This window comes from Homo sapiens, chromosome 7 (assembly GCF_000001405.40).
Source record: "Homo sapiens chromosome 7, GRCh38.p14 Primary Assembly".
NCBI classification, from domain to species: Eukaryota; Metazoa; Chordata; class Mammalia; order Primates; family Hominidae; genus Homo; species Homo sapiens.
In genome coordinates, this window is record NC_000007.14 from 8,286,302 (window position 1) to 8,310,524 (window position 24,223).

The following is a 24,223-nucleotide window of genomic DNA, read 5'->3' on the forward strand; positions in this document are numbered from 1 at the left end:
CTCAGGCAGTGGCCAGACAAGATGGTAAGATGGTAGATCCCTGTCCTCTTTTCCTCTTTTCTTTTTTCCTTCCCTCCCCTCCCCTCTCCTCCCCTCCTCTCCCCTCCCCTCCCCTCCCCTCCCCTCCCCTCCCCTTCCTTTTTTTGTCAGGGTCTTGCTCTGCACCCCGGTGGAGTGCAGTGGTATGATCTCAGCTCATTGCAACCTCTGCCTCCTGGGTTCAAGTGATTCTCATACCTCAGCTTCCAGAGTAGCTGGGACTACAGGTGAGTACCACCACGCCTGGCTAATTTTTGTATTTTTAGCAGAGATGGGGTTTTGCCATGTTGACTAGGCTTGTCCTGAACTCCCGGCCTTAAGTGATCTGCCCGCCTCGGCCTCCTGAAGTTCTGGGATTACAGGTGTGAGCCCCCGCACCCGGCCTCTTTTCTTTATTTACTGGCCTTTCCAGGTTTTTGCCCATTGAAATATAATAGTCTTTATTGTATAATAATGCGGTGGTTCTCACACTTTAGTATTCCTAACAATTATCAGGGGGTTGGGTATGCGGTGATTCTTCTGTTTTGTTTATTTTATTTTTTTTAAGTTTTGAAGAACTTTTATTGCCAGTTTGTCTAAAAGGTCATTTACTCAAAATGGAACTGGGGTGACAACAGGCTATCAAGCCATGACCTGGAAACCAAAGAACAATTCAGCAGTTCCAGGCTATAAGGAGTTGGCTGGGTCCCAGCACCCTGTGGGGAGACCAGTGGCCACCTAACCTGAGCAGGAGGTCAGTGCAGGAGGCAGGAGGGCTTGTCAAAATGTATTATCCTGGGTCTGCACCAACAACAAACAACAAACAAACAAACAAACAAACAAAAACCTCATTTATTCATTTCAAGGTGGGACTCAGGAAGCTCTGCTTTTAGTAAGAACCAGGAGTGTCAAATGCATTTAGTCATTGGTTGAATGACCATATAAATTATTTTCAAACTAGGAGACTTCGGAGAGTGAAGTGAGCTGCTGCTGACAATTACTCTGAGATAACAAGTGCAAAACAGCTCTGTCTCAGGCAAACTCTGACATAAAGTCTCTGCCAGTTGTGGGTCAACATTTGAGAAATGCTGCTGAGTGAAATTGACTTTCAATTACTGTGACTCGGGCTATTCCCATTTGCACTGATGGTGGTATAAAAGGCTTTTTGATGAATGAGAAAATTTAGGCCACAAGAAAAAATTGTTGCAAGTAGATTTTTTTTTCTTCAAATGGGGGACTGCCTGCTGTGTCCCAGAAAACTCACATCACCTGGGTGTGAGTGATTTTTGAGATGGTTTAAGTACTTTTAAATCACAAAATTCTTTCCTTCCCCCTTACCTCCCTTCTTCCTTCCCTCTTTCCATCCCTTCCTTTCTTCCTTCTTTCCTTCTCTCACCCATTCATTTATTAAATATTCATTGAGTAATCCAGAAGACTGAGGAAGTAAAAGACTGAGAGAACATAATCATGGACCCTCATTCTTCTTACTATCCATAAAAATTTGGAGACAGCTCAGCTCCTGTAACCTTTGTGATTTGCTACTGATCTGAGTAGATGTTTGGCTCAACATTACTAAAAATAAAACAGAACTAAAAAGAAACCATGTATTTTACTTTAATGCTGGTTTAGTGAGTCAACCAGAAACGTCCTAACTTTGAACATGTAAAGGACTATACTTCAAAGTATTTTTAAGCAATAGTTAAATGTAAATATGAAATTATATATCATTTGTCTAGATCGATTGTCAATGTGTTTAGAATCGCTCTTGTAGATGATGATAAGGTTTAGCTTTGTTCTTTTCCAGTTAATTTTGGGTTTGCATTGTAGAGAACAGATCAAGTGTGTCAGAAAAGTAGGCACTGGCTAGGGAGGAGGAAATCATTAACTATTTCAGGCCACTAATATGAAATGGTATTCACTGAAGAAATAAAATAGCAAATTACATTTATAAAGAATTAATGTTCCTTTAAAAATATCTGGCCATTTGATTATTTGCCTCAGAGAAAATGACCCCCCTCCCCAGGTTTGTAAATTTAAGAGTGCTAGTGAGCTTGAAAGAGCCTTATGATGTTTACTTTTTCTCTCCTTTACCAAAGAGAAAAGGGACTTACTTGGGAAGATAATATCATCACTTTTTGATTTTTTTGATGCCATGTCATCTTATTGATGTTTTAAAAGACTTGGAACAACATGAAGCACTTTAATGGAGAGATAAATATTTTTTAAACAAGTTATTATTTTTTCTTTGGCCTTTTATCTGTTGTACTACTTAGTGTAAATACAATTTAAAAATCATAAGTTGAAATTTTTTAATTTAGATTTAGTTCTCCTTAAGAAATTCAACAAGAAGGAAATATAAACTCTAAATAGACCTTTCTTATACATAGGCCATACTGCGGTGTGTTTATTTTCTATAAAATAAATGTCACTTTTAGCTTCTGTTAACCCACATCATTCCAGAACATTTCCTAATGATTCTTTTTAAAAAACATTTTTTTGTTCTGTAAATCTATTACTGTGAAAGTAGTTCCTTCCTGGCTTCCTGCTGTGTTTCTCTGCTATTGCATTATTGGTACTTACTGTGTCACAATGATCTGTCTTTACAAATTAATTTTGTCTTTTTCTTCTGAATTTTTTCAATGCTCTTGATTTTTTTTCAATTTATACTAACATTTTAATTATCAATTCCTTTCTAAAGAGGCATTCATACTGTTTGCAAAATTTAATTACAGTGCCTTCCTTCCTTAATACATTAAACCTATAAGTCTTCTTAGATTTTTGTATTTTCTGTTAGCTCAAATTAATAAGGGAGAATGAAAACATTCTTACATTGATCTAAATTATTTTCCTCTTCTTTTCTATTTTTTGAGCAGCAAATTGAACATTATTTATTTTTATCATATTTGAGATTCTTGACTATAAAAACATGTCCTTCTACCTCTCCTAATATAAGGGTAGTCTATAGTTTTAAGAAAGTATACACTTACATATCCCACATTTATTTGTCTTCTCTGTGTCCATTTATTCAGCCAGACATCTATTGAGTGCCTATCACAGGTTGGACACTGTGTTAGGTTATGTTTATTTGTTATTGTTTCTTTACAAGAGCAACTTAAAAAATTATCTTTCTAATGCCGCTCACAAAAAATATATTGAAACTAACTCTCTTACTCTGATCTCAACGATATCTCTTACATAGGTAATTGAACTGTAGTGTATTTATGAAATAATAGACAGGACAACCAAATAAACACTAGTAGTTCTGATAATTCTAAAACTATCCAGTGAAATTGTCTATGTGTTTGTTTATGTGTACAAATCATCAAGATTTGTGAAAAAAAACTACAGAAAACTTGATTATCTTTACTGGCAATAATTTAGTTTTAAATGGCAGACTGAGAACAAGTGAATGTAAGCTGTAACTTAATATCATTTAGTTATGCACCAACTTGGTCAAATCATTAATTTTATCTAACATCAAAAAGAAAAGCTGGATGCATGAAAAATTCTTGATAGATATGTTAAAATTATTTCATTTACTGAAAATTAACTCTTTTCAAATAAAGTTTAGTTTTTAGATCTTTATAGATTATGAGAAAAGAATCAGGAGAAAGAGGAAAGAAATAAAAAATGGAAGTCTAAACCAATTTCTGGTTCGGTTTAGTCTCCTTCACTGAACAAATATTTACAAAACACCTGCTCTGAGCCAAGCAGAATGCTGGGGATGCAGGAGGACTCACTTGAATCATGAGTGATGATATTGCCTTACTTTATGCTAGATTTAAGTTTGGGATGCCCTATGGAAATACTATGAAACTATGTTGTTAGCTAAATAGCATGAAATACCTTGTAGAAAATGCAAGTGAAAAAGAACCTGGGAAAGAAGGTTCACTTTCAAAGACAAACTATTAAGAATATCAGTGACTGCAGGTTAGACAGTAATTGTAGACAATTAAGAGAAGACAGAACTTCTGATTAGAAGAGTGATTGGCAAGAGAGTTGGCCAGGCAGAAAGGTGATGAGACCTTTAGGTGGGAGGCAGGAGCAGAGCTTGGTGTTTCTTTTGTATAGTGCCCCATCTCTGGGTTTTAGGAAGCATACTATCAAATGTTTAAATAATGCTCCAAAAGTTAGGTAACTCCTCAAGGTTACGCAGCCTTCAAGTGGTGGTGCCTGGACTTAAACCTCTAACTCTGTAGCTAGTGATCTTAGGAAGGTCTGCATTTTAGAATTTTTCTGCTGAAACAATAGAATTCCCATAGCTATTACAAGTTCAAGTATGAGAAGGAATGAAAAAGAAATACTGCCTGAAGATTTCCTTCATCAGAGAAACATAGGGATTGAGGAATACCAAGTGGTCTTGAGGATATGCATTGCAGACCAGTTCATTTATGATTTATTTATTCATTCAACAAACACTGATTTGACATCCTCCACATACCATGAGCCCTGCTTCTCACACCTGGCATGGGTCTTGAGAGCCACTCTGGCACCATGTTGCATTTTATTGGGTTCTCCAAAGTGAAACCTATTTATAGGTTCATCCTTGTATCCAACCACCAAAGTTCAGATAATAATTTGCCTCTTGATTTGCAGCCAGGGGCTTTCCAGTTAGTGAGAGGGGTTGATATAAGGGAGAGTGAAGAACCAAAAGAGGTAATTTGTCTTCATTTCTGCTGATGAGGACACCCAAGCAAGTTTTCCCTGAGGCTATGGTAATCTGCAGGGCTGTCTCTCATTTATTACCCACAGAATCTAGAAGCCCTGTGGCGCATTGCAAAGATAAGGTAATGAGCACACATTATGCAATAACAGACGGTAAACTCTCTAGTTTTCCTTTGTTATTGGAAGGTGGCCTGGAACACCAGGTGTTAGAGACAGGTTTTCCTGTCACTCGTCTAACCAGTTTCCTATGCACTAAATGCAAGAGATAACACATGAAATAACTCACCAGATTTAAAGTTAAGCAGTTAACTGTGAGAATGACAAAGATAAAATGAAATTGTAGAAGAGCTTTATAATGCCAAAATGCTATAAAATATTTGTTGCTATTATGAGACTTGTATGATATAGCTTCAATGGACTTGTTATGTTGCAATTAGATTGTTTTAAAATGTCACAAAGACTTGCTGGTGGATGGCTGGGTGGTATAAGGCAATATTTCTCTAATTTTAATATGCATATGAATCCCCAGGAGATCTTGTTAAAATACAGGTTCTGAGTCACCAGGTCTGGGGTGTGGCCTGAGAGTCTGCATTATTTAAAAATCTCCCAGATGATATTGATGCTTCTGGCTCATGGATCACAGTATGAGTAGCATGGATGTAAAATTGAGAGTATGTATTACCATCCCTCAATTCAAGGGAATTCATGACATATTCTGGCTAAAAACATACATATTTATCTGGTGTGTAAACCTCAGGATTCACAGCATATCATCAAATCAACTTTATTTTTGTCTTTCCTACTCCCTTAAAATTTATTCAGTAATCATCGGAAGCCCTGGGAAGCAAATTTCTGGAGACCCTATGCCTTTTCTGCTCATGCTTAAGTAGTATACCATCCTACTGTCAATTAAGATCATAAACACAGGCACAATTCAGTAATTAGATTGTGGGCCTAAGATAATAACCAGGCTCTGACCTCGATTTAACGGGCAGAGCTCCCTTGGCCCAGCCTGGGCCTGCTTACCCTGCTGTTTGTCCCTAAAAGGGCTCTCATTAGCTATTCTCTGTTTGCCCATGTTGAGCTTTTTGGTTTAAATCTGATGCCTTCCCCTGTAGGGCACTTTTGTGAGGCTTTGTGATTCCCTTCATTGGTGACTTCTCCTGCAGTCCCCTTGTTGCTGGCTGCAGAACCCCGTCAAGTCCAGGTGGCCACTTGTTCCTCCTGCTTTGGATCCTAGGAATTTGGCCTTGCACCCAGCTTCTTGCTGCTGCCCTCTAGGACCTGCATTGGGCCAGACTCAAGTTAGCTCTCTCTCATTTGCTGCCCACCTCTGCTCCACAGGAAACACTCTAGGGTTCTTTGACCTGAAAAACCCTGGAAATGCATGTGGGAGTAACTGTCCTCAAAGCAGTTATTCTACCATCCTTGGCCCTCTAGATTTCCTGGGCAGAAGGCAGAATGCAGGGCCAGTGTCCCCAAAATGCAGGGATGCCCCACTTAGGAATTCAAAGTGGACCCATGGGAGTCCCTCTCAATAGAGTGAGATGGTAGAAACTAATAACGAGGCAATTATTCTCCCCAAAGTGCTATCTTCACAAATATCCCTTCTCCTTTCGTCTCTCAGCTCTTTCATATCCTTGTAGTGAGTCAGATGGTTCAGAATTTATGCGGTGGGTTCTCAGAAATTTCCTTTCATGGTTTTTATATGACAGTTTTGTATCTCACTTTTCAATGTCATTCAATATTCTGTTACAATAATAATAACAATGACCTACGTTTAGCAAGCACAGCAATACCATGAGACAGGTGTGATCCATTTCCCCATTTTACAGGTGAAGAAATTGAAGCACAGAAAGATTAAGTAAAAAATGCCTGATGTGAACCTAACAAATCTTAAGTTTCTACTCTTAACCATTCTGCTGTGCTTCTGGTAGAAAACGTCCAAATATTTGAAGGCAATATCATGATATATTCAAAAGAATACTAAAAACCAAGTGGTATGTCAGGCTTGCAGAGTAAAATCTTTGGGTAACATTTCCGTTCTAAGTCTTAATTATTATTGCTTTAAAAGAAATATCGTTGGATTGCATTTCCTAAAGTGTGTTTGCATGAAATATTAGACCCAAGGTTCCTTCAATCATTCAACACATATTCACTGCATGCCACATAGGGAATTCTGTCCCTCTTGGAGATCTGCAATCTATTAACATGTTATAGATTCTAAAAGATCCTGTATAAATGTGTATTTATCCCCAAATTATTTGATATTGGATTTTCTGTTCAATTTTGGGGCAACACCAATAACATTCTTTGGAAGTTCCTTAGAATCAGCTTTTGGAAGTTAACTAATGAATTTACTGATTAATTCAGAGACAATGAATGAAAGTGCATGTACTAATTATTCTTTATTCATTTGACCTTGAAGAATGTTTAATTTGTGATCACCTTTTGCAGTAACTTGACAGATATTTCTAAACACATGTTAAACCTAACTTGGAAGTAAACCCATTTATAAAAAACACTGAAAATAATAAAGTAATAATGTGTTAACATCTGTATGTGTAAGATGTGAGGTTTGGTGCAGTGATTCTCAATCTTGCCTATTAGAATCACCTGGGAAGGTTTTAATTAACTGATGTCCACACCACATTCAGGCCAATTTAATCAGAATCTCTGAGGGTAGGATCTAATATTTTGATCCAGGGCTGTGATTTGAGTCTCCTTCAGTCCATGTGATAAATAACTTATATAATTAGGTGAATTGAAACTACCTCTCTGAAAAGGAGATGAAATTATCTACCACCAATAGATTTAGTCTGGTTGAAATAAAATGGATAAAATATATAAGAAATTTGGTCGGGCGCAGTGGCTGTAAGATTTTTGGCCAGGTGTGGTGGCTCATGCCTGTAATCCCAGCACTTTGGAAGGGAGAGGTGGACAGATCACTTGAGGTCAGGAGTTCAAGACCAGCCTGGCCAACATGGCGAAACCCTGTCTCTACTAAAAATACAAAAATTAGCCAGGCGTGGTAGCAGGTCCACGTAATCCCAGCTACTCAGAAGGCTGAGGGAAGATAATCGCTTGAACCTGGAAGGCAGAGGTTGCAGTGAGCCAACATCATACCACTACACTTTAGCCTGGGTGACAGAGACAGACTCTGTCTCAAAAATAAATAAATAAATAAATAAATAAATAAAATAAAATAAAATAAAATAATAAAAAAGTAAATTTAAAAAAACCCAACAAACCCAAAAATGTAAGGTTTTCTTAAAAAAAAAGAAAAAAGAAATGCATATACTTAACACTTTCACATCACGGCAATTATCTAGGATCTTCCTTATTGAGGCTTTATAATTTATGACCTTTTGTTTAAACTCCGCTCCTCATGTGGCTCCTGTTTATCAATTTTATATTTCCAAATTGCACTCTGCTGAAAATAATGAAATTAGATCAATATAGTTATGTTAATGGAGGTACCATGCAGCTCATTTGAAAGAGAATGCAATACATATTTTCATACGTCCTATATTACTCAACCCATTGATCAGAAAAGTGTTAATGATACAATGCTAGTATTTTGAATGTCTAAGAGGTCCATTGATGGCAACTTAGACATAAAAAGCTACTGAATGTTCATGAAACTGGAATAAATGACTGCATTGAATATATTTAAGTTATCCTTAATGTCCTGTTGTTAGCTGCAAATTTTATTCAAACTCATCTCAACTGTTATTCTTAAGACTTAAATAAATCAACCATGTATTTTTGTTCATCTTGGCTTACACAATTCTGTCATTTGTTTGAACAATAAGCATAATTCTGTTGCCAAATAAAAGAAAAACAAAATTATGGGGCTGTAAAAAACGCAGTACTAGAATGATGTGATTAAATAAGAACGAGCCAGAAGTATATTCCTACGTGAAGTCTTCTTCTTCTTCTTTTCTTTTTTTGGACAGGGTCTTGCTCTGTTGCCCAGGCTGGAATGCAGTGGTGCAATCACAGCTAACTGCAGCCTTTATCTGCCAGGCTCAAGTGATCCTCCTGCCTCCGCCTCCTCAGTAGGTGGGACTACAGGCATGTGCCACCATGCCTGGCTAATTTAAAACTATTTTTTAGTAAGGGTGGGGTCTCACTTTGTTGCCCAGGGCAGTCTCAAACTCCTGCACTCAAGTGATCCTCCCACCTTGGCCTCCTAAAGTTCTGGGATTACAGGTGTTAGCTACCACACTGGGCTGAAGTTTTCTTCTTTTGCATTTCTGTTCCTCATACTTCTTTGTGTTCTCTCTTGGTCTTTGTCTTTCTTCAGGTCTTGCTCTTGCCACGTACTGTTTCTTGTTTTGAGATTTGTATTTGTAGTGGGGGAAAACAATACGGAGAGTTTTTATGGAGTGGAGGAACTTCCAAGATACAGTATGTAGTATTTTTAGGAAATGGAAATCTATTAGATGCTTTCTCCCTGAGAAGGTAGTAAAAGTTGTGAGAATGAGAAGGAAGAGATGGTAATGCAAAAGAAACACTTGTTGGAATATTCTAGTGAGGGTGAGGATGCAGAGGGAGTCTTTCTGGAGAGAAAATAGATTTGTGTAAATGGAAGACTACTTAATAGTCTACGGAGAGAAACCAAAAGATTAGCAACAAAGGATATTAACATTTATTATTCATGCTTATTAAAAAAAGAGAAACTAAGGAATAATCTTGGGTATACCCATTCAATGAAAAAGTCACTTGTAAATTTCAGAAACGTGAACTGCCTTCTAGGGACTACTGTTTAAATGTCACCTACCTAAAAGGAATACATTTTAATTGGACTTTGATTGGCAAGCTCGTCACTACTTCCTTTGCCTTTATGAAAAGATCTGTTCCAACTGGCAACACCCAAGAGTGCAGCATTTTAAACAGGGAAAAGGTGAGCAAACACAATTACCCGCATCTAAGTCCTGTGATACAGGCAACTGTTTTAATATAATTCGTCTTCCTAGTTGTCATTTACTAACCTAAAGAGCATTATTGGGCTGATTTAGTTAAAAAACACCACCACCACCACCAAAAAACAAAAAACAAAAACATGGATGGAAAAGGGAAAGCAATAGAAAGGGAGTCTGAAGATTCTAGATTGAGTCCTGATGTCTCTGCAAATAGCTATGAAGTAACTAGAGCTTCAATTTCATCAACTGTCTAGGTAGGATGCCCTCCAAGGTCTCTAAGATTACAAATAGTGTGAATTAGCCGACAGCGAGCTAGAGCATATTTGCTTAAGCCAATAGTGACATCTGGTGGCTGCATATACCAATGACAGATTTAGCTACCTTCAAGCTTTCCCAAAGGCTTGGTAAGTCTTGTTTTTAAAATGGCTGCCTTTTCCATTTGAAAATATACCAGTGGCCAGTTGGAAACCTAACTGTTCAGATTTGGTTTCTCTACTTTATTATTTATATCATGAGTTTTTAGATTTTTATTTTTTATTAAGTAGGTGAATGAGCAACATGTTTTTCAGAGAATGACACTTTGATAACTCTTTTCTTGTAAATGCAGTATTATAAACAGAGCTCCAAATTCCTTTGGCTCTGTCGCTACTTCTCTGAAGCAGATGTACTTCCATGCAATTGATTGGATTAGTGGAGGTGTAAATTTAAAAATAAATAAATTAATTTGTTTATCCTCTCATTTAACTCCTACTCTTGCGTCAACCTCTGTGCTAGACAGGACAGATCCAGAAATAAAAGCACACCCCTGAACTACTGAGTTCTCTGGCTTCGAACCCAGGGAACTGACAACACATCAGCTGGGATTTGAGCTCCCTTTTTGTAAATATAGACAGAGGCAGGGTAAATCTCAATCTTCATTTTGTTTGTCATAATTTCTTGGTTTCCCTTTGATGGTGGTGAGGTCCTTACCCCTGCTTTCTGAATCCTAGTTCTCTTGTCTCCCACAACTCTAATTTTTTATACATAAATGAATACATAAGCAAGTGTACTTTTATGAAATGCATACTATTTCCCTCTCACATTTAAATTCTCAATTTGTGATGTGTAGAATCTTAATATTTCCTTTAGTGCAGAGTGACCGGCACCTCCAGTTTAATCCTTCTCCAAAATGGTTAACTCAGAATTCTCACCATTCCCAGTCTCGGTCTCCACCATGGTGCTTTAATTCTCTTTTTTTCAATACTATTTAAAAGTATCATCATTGGCCGGGTGTGGTGGCTCACGCCTGCAATCCCAGCACTTTGGGAGGCCGAGGCAGGCAGCCACCTGAGGTCAGGAGTTTGAGACCAGCCTGGCCAACATGGTGAAACCCCATCTCTGTTAAAAGTAAATAAATAAATAAATAAAAATACAAAAATTAGCCGGGCGTGGTGGCACACACCTGTAATCTCAGCTACTTAGCAGGCTGAGCCAAGAGAATTGCTTGAACCTGGGAGGCAGAGGTTGCAATGAGTAGAGATTGTGCCACTCACTCCAGACTGGGCGAAAGAGTGAGACTCCGTCTCAAAAAAAAAAAAAAATTATCATCATTATTATCTTGTCTGTTCCTGGTTCTTTCCTTACTATGTAAGAGAAGCAACCCAAGTCGCAGTGCATTTAAATGCTTTTCCTAAGGCTCTAGTAAGGGCAGTTAGAAATGGAAGCCGGAACTTTAGATGGTCTGGAGCGTGGTCTGGAGTCTTTACAACACACCCAAACTATCCGCACACATGGAAGGGTGAGAACCTCCCTATCCAATTCCTTTGCATCAGCTCCTCCTTCCTTTATTGTCTATGGCTTCTGGGACGATTGTGAATAAGAGAGTGATCCAACAACAGAATGTGGAGACAACCTCTCTCCCCTCTGTAGCTGTGTCCACTTTGGCTTTTGATACAGGGAGTAGAGTCACAGACAGGCATGTATTCACTTTAGTTTCCCTAGGAACGCAGACAGGTGGTTCAGACAGAAATCAGAATTATTTATACATGACTGTAGGAAAATATTTATTCAGGGAACTCTGACCATTTTATGCTTGAATCATTTATATTCTCTACTATTTAGAGCTGCAGTTGGCCTTGCTATCATTTATTTATTTGTACATTGAGTCAGTGAAGATAAATTTTCTTAATTTTTTTTTCCTTTTTTTTTATTTTATTTATTTATTTATTTTTATTATTATACTTTAAGTTTTAGGGTACATGTGCACATTGTGCAGGTTAGTTACATATGTATACATGTGCCATGCTGGTGCGCTGCACCCACTAACTCGTCATCTAGCATTAGGTATATCTCCCAATGCTATCCCTCCCCCCTCCCCCAACCCCACAACAGTCCCCAGAGTGTGATGTTCCCCTTCCTGTGTCCATGTGATCTCATTGTTCAATTCCCACCTATGAGTGAGAATATGCGGTGTTTGGTTTTTTGTTCTTGCGATAGTTTACTGAGAATGATGGTTTCCAATTTCATCCATGTCCCTACAAAGGACATGAACTCATCATTTTTTATGGCTGCATAGTATTCCATGGTATATATGTGCCACATTTTCTTAATCCAGTCTATCATTGTTGGACATTTGGGTTGGTTCCAAGTCTTTGCTATTGTGAATAATGCCGCAGTAAACATACATGTGCATGTGTCTTTATAGCAGCATGATTTATAGTCCTTTGGGTATATACCCAGTAATGGGATGGCTGGGTCAAAAGGTATTTCTAGTTCTAGATCCATGAGGAATCGCCACACTGACTTCCACAATGGTTGAACTAGTTTACAGTCCCACCAACAGTGTAAAAGTTGTTCATATTTCTCCACATCCTCTCCAGCACCTGTTGTTTCCTGACTTTTTAATGATTGCCATTCTAACTGGTATGAGATGGTATCTCATTGTGGTTTTGATTTGCATTTTTCTGATGGCCAGTGATGGTGAGCATTTTTTCATGTGTTTTTTGGCTGCATAAATGTCTTCTTTTGAGAAGTGTCTGTTCATGTCCTTTGCCCACTTTTTGATGGGGTTGTTTGTTTTTTTCTTGTAAATTTGGGTTCACTGTAGATTCTGGATATTAGCCCTTTGTCAGATGAGTAGGTTGCGAAAATTTTCTCCCATTTTGTAGGTTGCCTGTTCACTCTGATGGTAGTTTCTTTTGCTGTGCAGAAGCTCTTTAGTTTAATTAGATCCCATTTGTCAATTTTGGCTTTGGTTGCCATTGCTTTTGGTGTTTTAGACATGAAGTCCTTGCCCATGCCTATGTCCTGAATGGTAATGCCTAGGTTTTCTTCTAGGGTTTTTATGGTTTTAGGTCTAACATTTAAGTCTTTAATCCATCTTGAATTGATTTTTGTATAAGGTGTAAGGAAGGGATCCAGTTTCAGCTTTCTACATATGGCTAGCCAGTTTTCCCAGCACCATTTATTAAATAGGGAATCCTTTCCCCATTGCTTGTTTTTCTCAGGTTTGTCAAAGATCAGATAGTTGTAGATATGCGGCGTTACTTCTGAGGGCTCTGTTCTGTTCCATTGATCTATATCTCTGTTTTGGTACCAGTACCATGCTGTTTTGGTTACTGTAGCCTTGTAGTATAGTTTGAAGTCGGGTAGTGTGATGCCTCCAGCTTTGTTCTTTTGGCTTAGGATTGACTTGGTGATGCGGGCTCTTTTTTGGTTCCATATAAACTTTAAAGTAGTTTTTTCCAATTCTGTGAAGAAAGGCATAGGTAGCTTGATGGGGATGGCATTGAATCTGTAAATTACCTTGGGCAGTATGGCCATTTTCACGATATTGATTCTTCCTACCCATGAGCATGGAATGTTCTTCCATTTGTTTGTATCCTCTTTTATTTCCTTGAGCAGCGGTTTGTAGTTCTCCTTGAAGAGGTCCTTCACATCCCTTGTAAGTTGGATTCGTAGGTATTTTTTTCTCTTTGAAGCAATTGTGAATGGGAGTTCACTCATGATTTGGCTCTCTGTTTGTCTGTTGTTGGTGTGTAGGAATGCTTGTGATTTTTGCACATTGATTTTGTATCCTGAGACTTTGCTGAAGTTGCTTATCAGCTTAAGGAGATTTTGGGCTGAGACAGTGGGGTTTTCTAGATATACAATCATGTCATCTGCAAACAGGGACAATTTGACTTCCTCTTTTCCTAATTGAATACCCTTTATTTCCTTCTCCTGCCTAATTGCCCTGGCCAGAACTTCCAACACTATGTTGAATAGGAGTGGTGCGAGAGGGCATCCCTGTCTTGTGCCAGTTTTCAAAGGGAATGCTTCCAGTTTTTGCCCATTCAGTATGATATTGGCTGTGGGTTTGTCATAGATAGCTCTTATTATTTTGAAATATGTCCCATCAATACCTAATTTATTGAGAGTTTTTAGCATGAAAGGTTGTTGAATTTTGTCAAAGGCCTTCTCTGCCTCTATTGAGATAATCATGTAGTTTTTGTCTTTGGCTCTGTTTATATGCTGGATTACATTTATTGATTTGCGTATATTGAACCAGCCTTGCATCCCAGGGATGAAGCCCACTTGATCATGGTGGATAAGCTTTTTGATGTGCTGCTGGATTCGGTTTGCCAGTAATTTATTGAGGATTTTTGCATCAATGTTCATCAAGGATATTGGTCTAAAATTCTCTTTTTTGGTTGTGTCTCTGCCCGGCTTTGGTATCAGAATGATGCTGGCCTCATAAAATGAGTTAGGGAGGATTCCCTCTTTTTCTATTGATTGGAATAGTTTCAGAAGGAATGGTACCAGTTCCTCCTTGTACCTCTGGTAGAATTTGGCTGTGAATCCATCTGGTCCTGGACTCTTTTTGGTTGGTAAGCTATTGATTATTGCCACAATTTCAGATCCTGTTATTGGTCTATTCAGAGATTCAACTTCTTCCTGGTCTAGTCTTGGGAGAGTGTATGTGTCAAGGAATTTATCCATTTCTTCTAGATTTTCTGGTTTATTTGCGTAGAGGTGTTTGTAGTATTCTCTGACGGTAGTTTGTATTTCTGTGGGATCAGTGGTGATATCCCCTTCATCGTTTTTTATTGTGTCTATATGATTCTTCTCTCTTTTTTTCTTTATTAGTCTTGCTAGCGGTCTATCAATTTTGTTGATCCTTTCAAAAAACCAGCTCCTGGATTCATTAATTTTTTGAAGGGTTTTTTGTGTCTCTATTTCCTTCAGTTCTGCTCTGATTTTAGTTATTTCTTGCCTTCTGCTAGCTTTTGAATGTGTTTGCTCTTGCTTTTCTAGTTCTTTTAATTGTGATGTTAGGGTGTCAATTTTGGATCTTTCCTGCTTTCTCTTGTGGGCATTTAGTGCTATAAATTTCCCTCTACACACTGCTTTGAATGCATCCCAGAGATTCTGGTATGTTGTGTCTTTGTTCTCGTTGGTTTCAAAGAACATCTTTATTTCAGCCTTCATTTCGTTATGTACCCAGTAGTCATTCAGGAGCAGGTTGTTCAGTTTCCATGTAGTTGAGCGGTTTTGAGTGAGATTCTTAATCCTGAGTTCTAGTTTGATTGCAATGTGGTCTGAGAGATAGTTTGTTATAATTTCTGTTCTTTTACATTTGCTGAGGAGAGCTTTACTTCCAAGTATGTGGTCAATTTTGGAATAGGTGTGGTGTGGTGCTGAAAAAAATGTATATTCTGTTGATTTGGGGTGGAGAGTTCTGTAGATGTCTATTAGGTCCGCTTGGTGCAGAGCTGAGTTCAATTCCTGGGTATCCTTGTTGACTTTCTGTCTCGTTGATCTGTCTAATGTTGACAGTGGGATGTTAAAGTCTCCCATTATTAATCTGTGGGAGTCTAAGTCTCTTTGTATGTCACTCAGGACTTGCTTTATGAATCTGGGTGCTCCTGTATTGGGTGCATATATATTTAGGATAGTTAGCTCTTCTTGTTGAATTGATCCCTTTACCATTATGTAATGGCCTTCTTTGTCTCTTTTGATCTTTGTTGGTTTAAAGTCTGTTTTATCAGAGACTAGGATTGCAACCCCTGCCTTTTTTTGTTTTCCATTTGCTTGGTAGATTTTCCTCCATCCTTTTATTTTGAGCCTATGTGTGTCTCTGCACGTGAGATGGGTTTCCTGAATACAGCACACTGATGGGTCTTGACTCTTTATCCAATTTGCCAGACTGTGTCTTTTAATTGGAGCATTTAGTCCATTTACATTTAAAGTTAATAGTGTTATGTGTGAATTTGATCCTGTCATTATGATGTTAGCTGGTTATTTTGCTCGTTAGTTGACGCAGTTTCTTCCTAGTCTCGATAGTCTTTACATTTTGGCATGATTTTGCAGCGGCTGGTACCGGTTGTTCCTTTCCATGTTTAGCGCTTCCTTTAGGAGCTCTTTTAAGGCAGGCCTGGTGGTGACAAAATCTCTCAGCATTTGCTTGTCTGTAAAGTATTTTATTTCTCCTTCACTTAAGAAGCTTAGTTTGGCTGGATATGAAATTCTGGGTTGAAAATCCTTTTCTTTAAGAATGTTGAATATTGGCCCCCACTCTCTTCTGGCTTGTAGGGTTTCTGCCGAGAGATCCACTGTTAGTCTGATGGGCTTCCCTTTGAGGGTAACCCGACCTTTCTCTCTGGCTGCCCTTAACATTTTTTCCTTCATTTCAACTTTGGTGAGTCTGACAATTATGTGTCTTGGGATTGCTCTTCTCGAGGAGTATCTTTGTGGCATTCTCTGTATTTCCTGAATCTGAACGTTGGCCTGCCTTGCTAGATTGGGGAAATTCTCCTGGATGATATCCTGCAGAGTGTTTTCCAACTTGGTTCCATTCTCCCCATCACTTTCAGTTACACCAATCAGACGTAGATTTGGTCTTTTCACATAGTCCCATATTTCTTGGAGGCTTTGCTCGTTTCTTTTTATTCTTTTTTCTCTAAACTTTCCTTCTCGCTTCGTTTCATTCATTTCATCTTCCATTGCTGATACCCTTTCTTCCACTTGATCACATCAGCTCCTGAGGCTTCTGCATTCTTCACGTAGTTCTCGAGCCTTGGTTTTCAGCTCCATCAGCTCCTTTAAGCACTTCTCTGTATTGGTTATTCTAGTTGTACATTCTTCTATATTTTTTTCAAAGTTTTCGACTTCTTTGCCTTTGGTTTGAATGTCCTCCCGTAGCTCAGAGTAATTTGATCGTCTGAAGCCTTCTTCTCTCAGCTCTTCAAAGTCATTCTCTGTCCAGCTTTGTTCCGTTGCTGGTGAGGAGCTGCATTCCTTTGGAGGAGGAGAGGCGCTCTGATTTTTAGAGTTTCCAGTTTTTCTGTTCTGTTTTTTCCCCATCTTTGTGGTTTTATCTACTTTTGGTCTTTGATGATGGTGACGTACAGATGGGTTTTTGGTGTGGATGTCCTTTCTGTTTGTTAGTTTTCCTTCTAACAGACAGGACCCTCAGCTGCAGGTCTGTTGGAGTACCCTGCAGTGTGAGGTGTCAGTGTGCCCCTGCTGGAGGGTGCCTCCCAGTTAGGCTGCTCGCGGGTCAGGGGTCAGGGACCCACTTGAGGAGGCAGTCTGCCCGTTCTCAGATCTCCAGCTGCATGCTGGGAGAACCACTGCTCTCTTCAAAGCTGTCAGACAGGGACATTTAAGTCTGCAGAGGTTACTGCTGTCTTTTTGTTTGTCTGTGCCCTGCCCCCAGAGGTGGAGCCTACAGAGGCAGGCAGGCCTCCTTGAGCTGTGGTGGGCTCCACCCAGTTCGAGCTTCCCGGCTGCTTTGTTTACCTAAGCAAGCCTGGGCAATGGCGGGCGCCCCTCCCCCAGCCTCGCTGCCGCCTTGCAGTTTGATCTCAGACTGCTGTGCTAGCAATCAGCGAGACTCCGTGGGCGTAGGACCCTCCGAGCCAGGTGCGGGATATAATCTCGTCGTGCGCCATTTTTTAAGCCCGTCGGAAATGCGCAGTATTCGGGTGGGAGTGACCCGATTTTCCAGGTGCCGTCCGTCACCCCTTTCTTTGATTAGGAAAGGGAACTCCCTGACCCCTAGCACTTCCCGAGTGAGGCAATGCCTCGCCCTGCTTCGGCTCGCGCACGGTGCGCACCCACTGACCTGCGCCCACTGTCTGGCGCTCCCTAGTGAGATGAACCCGGTACCTCAGATGGAAATGCAGAAATCACCCGTCTTCTGCGTCGCTCAGGCTGATTGCTGCAGACCGGAGCTGTTCCTATTCGGCCATCTTGCCTCCTCCCCCGGAATTTTCTTAATTGTAAGTATTTGGAGTCAAAGTAAATTTGATAGACTTACAGTTGTATTTTAAAAATATTACTCCCATGTTCATGTATCTAGTCTAGGGGGGAGATGAATTTGGACATGTGACAGTGACACAGAGGATGGCCTGTTGTTGCTTACCAAATGCTAGGGTATGCATGTGCCAGCACCTAATAGTGCCTGTCACATGACAGGTGTTCAGTATATAACTGACTGACTGAATGAATGGGATGATGCCATCCTTCTGTTTAAGATCCTCCAAGAGTGTCCTGTATATATACAATAAAGTCCCAATTTTGACCCTGACCTTCAAGACTTGCTTACCTTGCTAATCTCACTTATGCAGCCTCATCTATACTGGGCTTCTTAAACTCTAGCCTGTCTAAGGACTTTTGCACAGGTTTTTTTCCTCCGCCTGGAATACTTTTTTTTTCTGTCCATCCTCAGTTCTCAGTTAAAATGTCAGATTCTTAAAGAGGCCTTTTCCGGTCACCCCACTTAAGTAGGTTTCCCTCTATTCTCCTCCCTGGCACCTTTTTTGTTGCTTTGGCAGTATTTTCCCCAATTTTCAATTATTTAAATGTAGCATATTTTAAAAAATGTCTCTTTGCCTGTGTTCCCCAGACAGCTAGCCCAAAGTCTGCCCATAGCAGATCCTGCTAGGCAATATAAGGGCAGTGAAGTAAGCAGTCATGAAGCGAGGTTGCCTCTTTCAAATGATTGGAGATAATATGGGGTAAAACAATCTTTTTCTCCTCTTCACCATAAACCTCAGAAGGTTTTTTTCTGATAGGGCTAAGAACATTTCTTTTTGGTCTGTGGGTCACATAATTTTGGTTTCATATTTTGTAGACAATATCTCTGCTACCATGAGCTTCATTTTATGAATGCAAAAGCATGGGCATTATATTACATTAATTGTTTCTTCTTTAATTGTTTATCAAGCACGTACTAGGTGCTAAACACTGTAATCCATCCTGGAGATTGAACAATCAGTAAAATAGAGTCCTTGCTTTCAAAGAGCTTATACCCTATCTTAGTCTGCTAGGTTGCATAACAAAATACCATAGACTGGAGGCTGAACAACAGAAATTTATTTATTTCAGTCCTGGAGGCTGAAGTCCCAGAGCAGGGTGCCAGCATGGTTAAGTTCTGGTGAGGGCCTTCTTCCTGGCTGGCAGATGGTGGCCTTCTTGCTGTGTCCTCACATGGCTCTCTGGTGTCTCTTAAGGCATTAATAAGGGCACTAATCCCATCATGAGGACTCTGCCCTCATGGCCTCATCTAACCTTAATTACCTCCCAAAAGCTGAATCTCTAAATACCATCACATCGTGGGTTACAGCTTCAACATGTGAATTTTGGGGAGGACACAAAGCTTCAGTCTATAGCATATCCCTTTCTAGGCAAGGCAAGCAAATAAGAGGGAGTGACCATGCAGTCGGGATATGGGTGAGGGCCCAGGATGCTGTGGATTCCCTAAGAAGGACCCTACTGGCTTGGGTGTCCATGAGAGTTTTCCTGGAGAAATGTTTTTTAAGTTGCTAAAAGCACATGTGTGCTCGCCAAGATGAACCAGGCTGGTTGAGAAAAAGCCAGAAAGACGCCATTTTTCTGACTGCTCTTTCCCGTGCTTCGTGAAAGGAGATGTGAAACTATTAGTACAGGGTACTTGTGAGTTTTCCAACAGGCTGGTGTCTAAGAAATAGTGCTGGCTATACTTGACTTTCAAAGTCTAGATTACTCATTGCAAGCAGGACTCCCCATGTAATAGATACATATTTAAGTTTTAGTCATGTAAGACAAACAAAAGATCCAGAAGAATTCCAGGTATTCTACAGGGTCAGGGACATTAGCTTTCATTGTGGCAGGAAAATTGTTCATGCTCTGAGCAGCCCAATACCTCTTTACCACTGAGAGGATAGTCCTGGAAAGAAAGCTGTAATAAGAAGTGAGGACCCACTTTGCCCCAGAGGCTCTCAGGATTACACCGTCAAGCTTCACATCCTGTTCACCATGGTCACCACCAGAACTCCAAGCTTCCAGCATCCTCACTCTTGTTCACATACAGCTTGGTACATTCCTCAGTGTGACTCAATCTCCCGTGATTCTTTTTTTTTTTTTTTTTTTTGGGGACGGAGTCTTGCTCTGTCACCCAGGCTGGAGAGCAATGGTGTGATCTCAGCTCACTGCAACTTCCGCCTCCCGGGTTCAAGCGATTCTCCTGCCTCAGCCTCCTGAGTAGCTGGGATTACAGGCGCCCGCCACCATGCCCAGCTAATTTTTGTGTTTTTAGTAGAGATGGAGTTTCACCATGTTGGCCAGGCTGGTCTTGAACTCCTGACCTCGTGATCTGCCCACTTCGGCCTCCCAAAGTGCCGGGATTATAGGCGTGAGCCACTGCGCGCTGCCGTGATTCTTGACTTTACAAACGCTTCCATGGTGCCCTCTGGAAGGGTCATCACCAGCAAAATCTCCTCTTTCTTCAAACTTTTTTTTTTTTTTTGAATGTTTTCTTCATCTTGTTACTCTATCAGAAACCCGTTGTCCCTGGAGGCTTCTGAAATGCCGCCTGCTTTTACCTCCACATCTACTTCTGAGAGTGGGTTAGATGTCCTCCCTGAGCCAATGGATCTCAGCGCATTTGCTAGCCCTTGTCCCTCAGAAGTCTAGTCCTTTGAAGTACCTGCTTTTAGTGTACTCGCTGACCTTCTCGTCCCTTTTAATTTAGCTTTTAGCACCAGGCTCCTTTTCCTTCTGGCTATCACTATTACTGTCACCATTCTCAGTGACTGCAATAACAAAACACAGGGCATGCATCTAATAGTCTGACTTTGGTTCCTTGATCTCCTTGCTTTCAACTCTCTCTTCTCTGTTTCTCTCGGTCATATCCTAGACCTTGTCATTACCAAAAACCATACTGCCTCTGAAATGGAGACTATAAGCTGAACATCACCGCCTAACTTCCAGTTCACTAACTCTAGTACCCAACTTCCATTATATTAAAACTTTATTGGGACCTTCAGTTCACCGGCCTTGCCACTCTTCCGTGTTACCTCACGTCCCTCCCTCATCTTCTCCCCGCCCTCATTAACGTGCTTAGATTTCATTCCACACACCCTTCACTTTCTTGCCCCAGCCTCCCTCTATTATATTTTCCTGGTTAAAACTAATTCTCTGACTACTTTGCACTTGCACCAAAGCAGTTAAAAGTGTTCCAGAAAAATACCCAAATGTGCTGATTGTTTTCACTTTAGACTTAGATTCGCTGATCCAAGTGGGCTTTTAGCACTGCTAAGATGAAGTTTAACTTCACCTTCTTGGTATATTCAGTTTCTCTTTCTTCCAGTTAACAGTTTCATATACATCACACTCTCCTTTTCAACTTTAAACTCTAGAGATTTCCTTTCTCTGTGCTCTTAGCTGGTAAGATAACTTCCTGATTAATGTAGAAAATATTAGTAATCATTTGGCCACCTTCGTATTGACCAACCTTCCTATCCTGTACTTAAATATGTTCTTTGCCAGGCACGGTGGTTCGTGCCTGTAATCCCAGCACTTTGGGAGGCCCAGGCGGGCAGATCACCTGAGGTCAGGAGTTCAAGACCAGCCTGGACAACATGTAGTGAAACCCTGTCTCTACTAAAAAATACAAAAATTAGCTGGGCTGATGGTGCATGCCTGTAGTCCCAGCTGGTTGGGAAGCTGAGGCAGGAGAATCACTTGAACCTGGGAGGTGGAGGCTGCAGTGAGCTGAGATCATGCCACTGTACTCTAGTCTGGGCGACAGAGCAAGACTCCGTCTCTCAAAAAAAAAAACGAAACACTTTTTTTTTTCAGACTTTAAAAATATATTTTAGGGGTGTGTGTGTGTTTTCTTAAAAAATTCTTTTATTTCAATAGCATTAGGGGTACAAGTGGTTTTTGGTTACATGGATGAATTGTACAGTGGTGAAGTCTAGATTTGACTGTATCTGTCACTTGGGTAATACACATTGTATCCAATAGATAGTTTTTCATCCCTCATCCCTCTTGTACCTCCTTCTCTTCTGAGTCTCCAATGTCCATTATACCATTCCGTATGCCTTTGCATACCTATAGCTTAGCTCCCACTTATAAGTGAGAACATGAGGTATTTGTTTTTCTGTTCCTGAGTTGCTTCACTTAGAATTGAACTCCAATTCCAGCCAAGTTGCTGAAAGACGTTATTTTGTTCTTTTTTTTTAATGGCTGAGTAGTTGATTCCATATCTTTGCAGTTGTGAGTTGCGCTGCAATAAGCATACATGTACAGGTGTCTTTCTGATATAGTGACTTCTTTTCCTTTGGGTAGATACCCAGGAATGGGATTGCTGGGCTGAATGGTAGATCTACTTTTAGTTCATTGAGAAATCTCCATATTGTTTTCCATAGAGTTTGTACTGATTTACATTCCCACTAGCCGTGAATGAGTGTTCCTTTTTCACCATATCCACGTCAACATCTATTGTTTTTTGACTTTTTAATAATGGCCATTCTGACGGGGGTACGGTGGTATCTCATTGTGGTTTTAATTTACATTCCCCTGATGATTAGTGATGTTGAGCATTTGTAAATGTTTATTGGCCATTTGTATATCTTCTTTTGAGAAATGTCTATTCATGTCCTTTGCCCATGTTTTAATAAGATTGATTTTTTTTCTTGCTGATTTGTTTGAGTTCCTTGTAGATTCTGGATATTAGTCCTTTGTCAGATGCATAATTTGCAGATATTTTCTCCTATTCTGTAGGTTGTCTGTTTACTCTGATGACAGTTTCTTTTGCTGTGTAAAACTTTTTAATTTAATTAGGTCCCATTTATTTTTATTTATTTATTTTTTTGAGACAGAGTCTTGCTCTGTCACCCAGGCTGAAGTGCATTGGCATGATCTTGGCTCACTGCAACCTCCACCTCCTGGGTTCAAGTGATTCTCCAGCCTCAGCCTCCCCAGTAGCTGGAACTACAGGCACGTGCCACCACACCTGGCTAATTTTTGTATTTTTTTTTAGTAGAGGCAGGGTTTTGCCATCTTGACCAGGCTGGTCTCGAACTCGTGACCTCAAGCAGTCCATCTGCCTCGGCCTCCCAAAGTGCTGGGAATACAGGCATGAACCATGTGCCTGGCTAGGTCCCATATATTTATTTTTGTTTTTGTTGCATTAGTTTTGGGGTCTTAATCATACATGCTTTGCCCAGGCCAATGTCCAAATGAGTTTTTCCTAGTTTTTCTTCTAGAATTTTTATGGTTTCAGGTCTTAGACTTAAGTCTGTAATCCATCTTGAGTTAATTTTTGTATATGGTGAGAGATAGGGATGAAGTTTCATTCTTCTACATATGGCTATCCAATTTTCCCATAACTATTTATTGAATAGGGTGTCCTTTCCCCAGTTTATGTTTTTGTATGATTTGTTGAAGATCAGTTGGTTATATTAATAAGTATTTGGCTTTATTTTCAGATTCCCTATTCTGTTCCATTGGTCTATGTATCACTTTTATACTAGTACCATTCTGTTTTGGTTACTATAGCCTTGTAATATAATTTGAAGTCGGGTAATGTGATGCCTCCAGATTTGTTCTTTTTGGTGAGGATTGCTTTGGCTATTCGGGCCCCTTTTGGTTCCATATAAATTTTAGAATTGCTTTTTTTAATTCTATGAAAAATAATGTTGTTATTTTGATAGGAATTGCATTAAATCTGTAGATTGCTTTGTGTAGTATGGTCATTGTCATGATATTGATTCTTCTAATCCATGAGCATGAGATGTATTTCCATTGTTTGTTCACCCATAATTTATTTCAACAGTGTTTTGTAGTTCTTCTTGTAGAAATCTTTCACTTTCTTGGTCAGGTATATTCCTAGGTATTTTATTATTTTTTTGTAGCTATTGTAAAAGGGATTGAGTTCTTGATTTGATGCTCAGCTTGGTTGTTGTTGGTGCATATCAGTACTACTGATTTGTGTACATTAGCTTTGTAGCCTGAGACTTTACCAAGTTTATTTGTCAGATCTAGGAGTCTTTGGAGGTGTCTTTAGGGTTTTCTAGGTATAAGATTATGTTACTGGCAAACAGAGATGGTTTGACTTCCTTTTTTCCAATTTGGATGCGCTTTATTTCTTTCTCTTACCTGGTTGATTTGGCTTGGACTTCCAGTATTATGTTGAATAACAGTGGTGAAAGTAGGCATCCTTGTCTTTTTCCAGGTCTTAGGGGAAAGACTTTCAGTTTTTCCTCATTCTGTATGATACTGGCTGTGGGTCTGTCTTACATGGCTTTTATTATGTTGAGGTATATTCCTTCTATACCCAGTTTTTTGAAGGTTTTCATCATGAAGCGATGTTGAATTTTATG

At 39.7% G+C, this 24,223-nt stretch overlaps 1 long non-coding RNA gene across 1 annotated transcript in view, besides 2 other annotated features; it reads left to right on the forward strand.

Annotated features, from left to right (window-relative positions):
• The window catches only part of ICA1-AS1 (ICA1 antisense RNA 1), an 81,057-nt gene that overhangs the window by 24,077 nt on the left and 32,757 nt on the right, over positions 1-24,223 (forward strand). The window lies entirely within an intron of this gene.
• Positions 17,067-17,629: an enhancer, noted in NCBI's record as "NANOG-H3K27ac-H3K4me1 hESC enhancer chr7:8342998-8343560 (GRCh37/hg19 assembly coordinates)". NCBI's record gives its function as "activates a minimal SCP1, AML or CMV promoter by ChIP-STARR-seq in primed H9 embryonic stem cells {active_cell/tissue: H9 hESC(primed)}" and the evidence as "EXISTENCE:reporter gene assay evidence [ECO:0000049][PMID:30033119]".
• Positions 17,630-18,191: an enhancer, noted in NCBI's record as "H3K27ac-H3K4me1 hESC enhancer chr7:8343561-8344122 (GRCh37/hg19 assembly coordinates)". NCBI's record gives its function as "activates a minimal SCP1, AML or CMV promoter by ChIP-STARR-seq in primed H9 embryonic stem cells {active_cell/tissue: H9 hESC(primed)}" and the evidence as "EXISTENCE:reporter gene assay evidence [ECO:0000049][PMID:30033119]".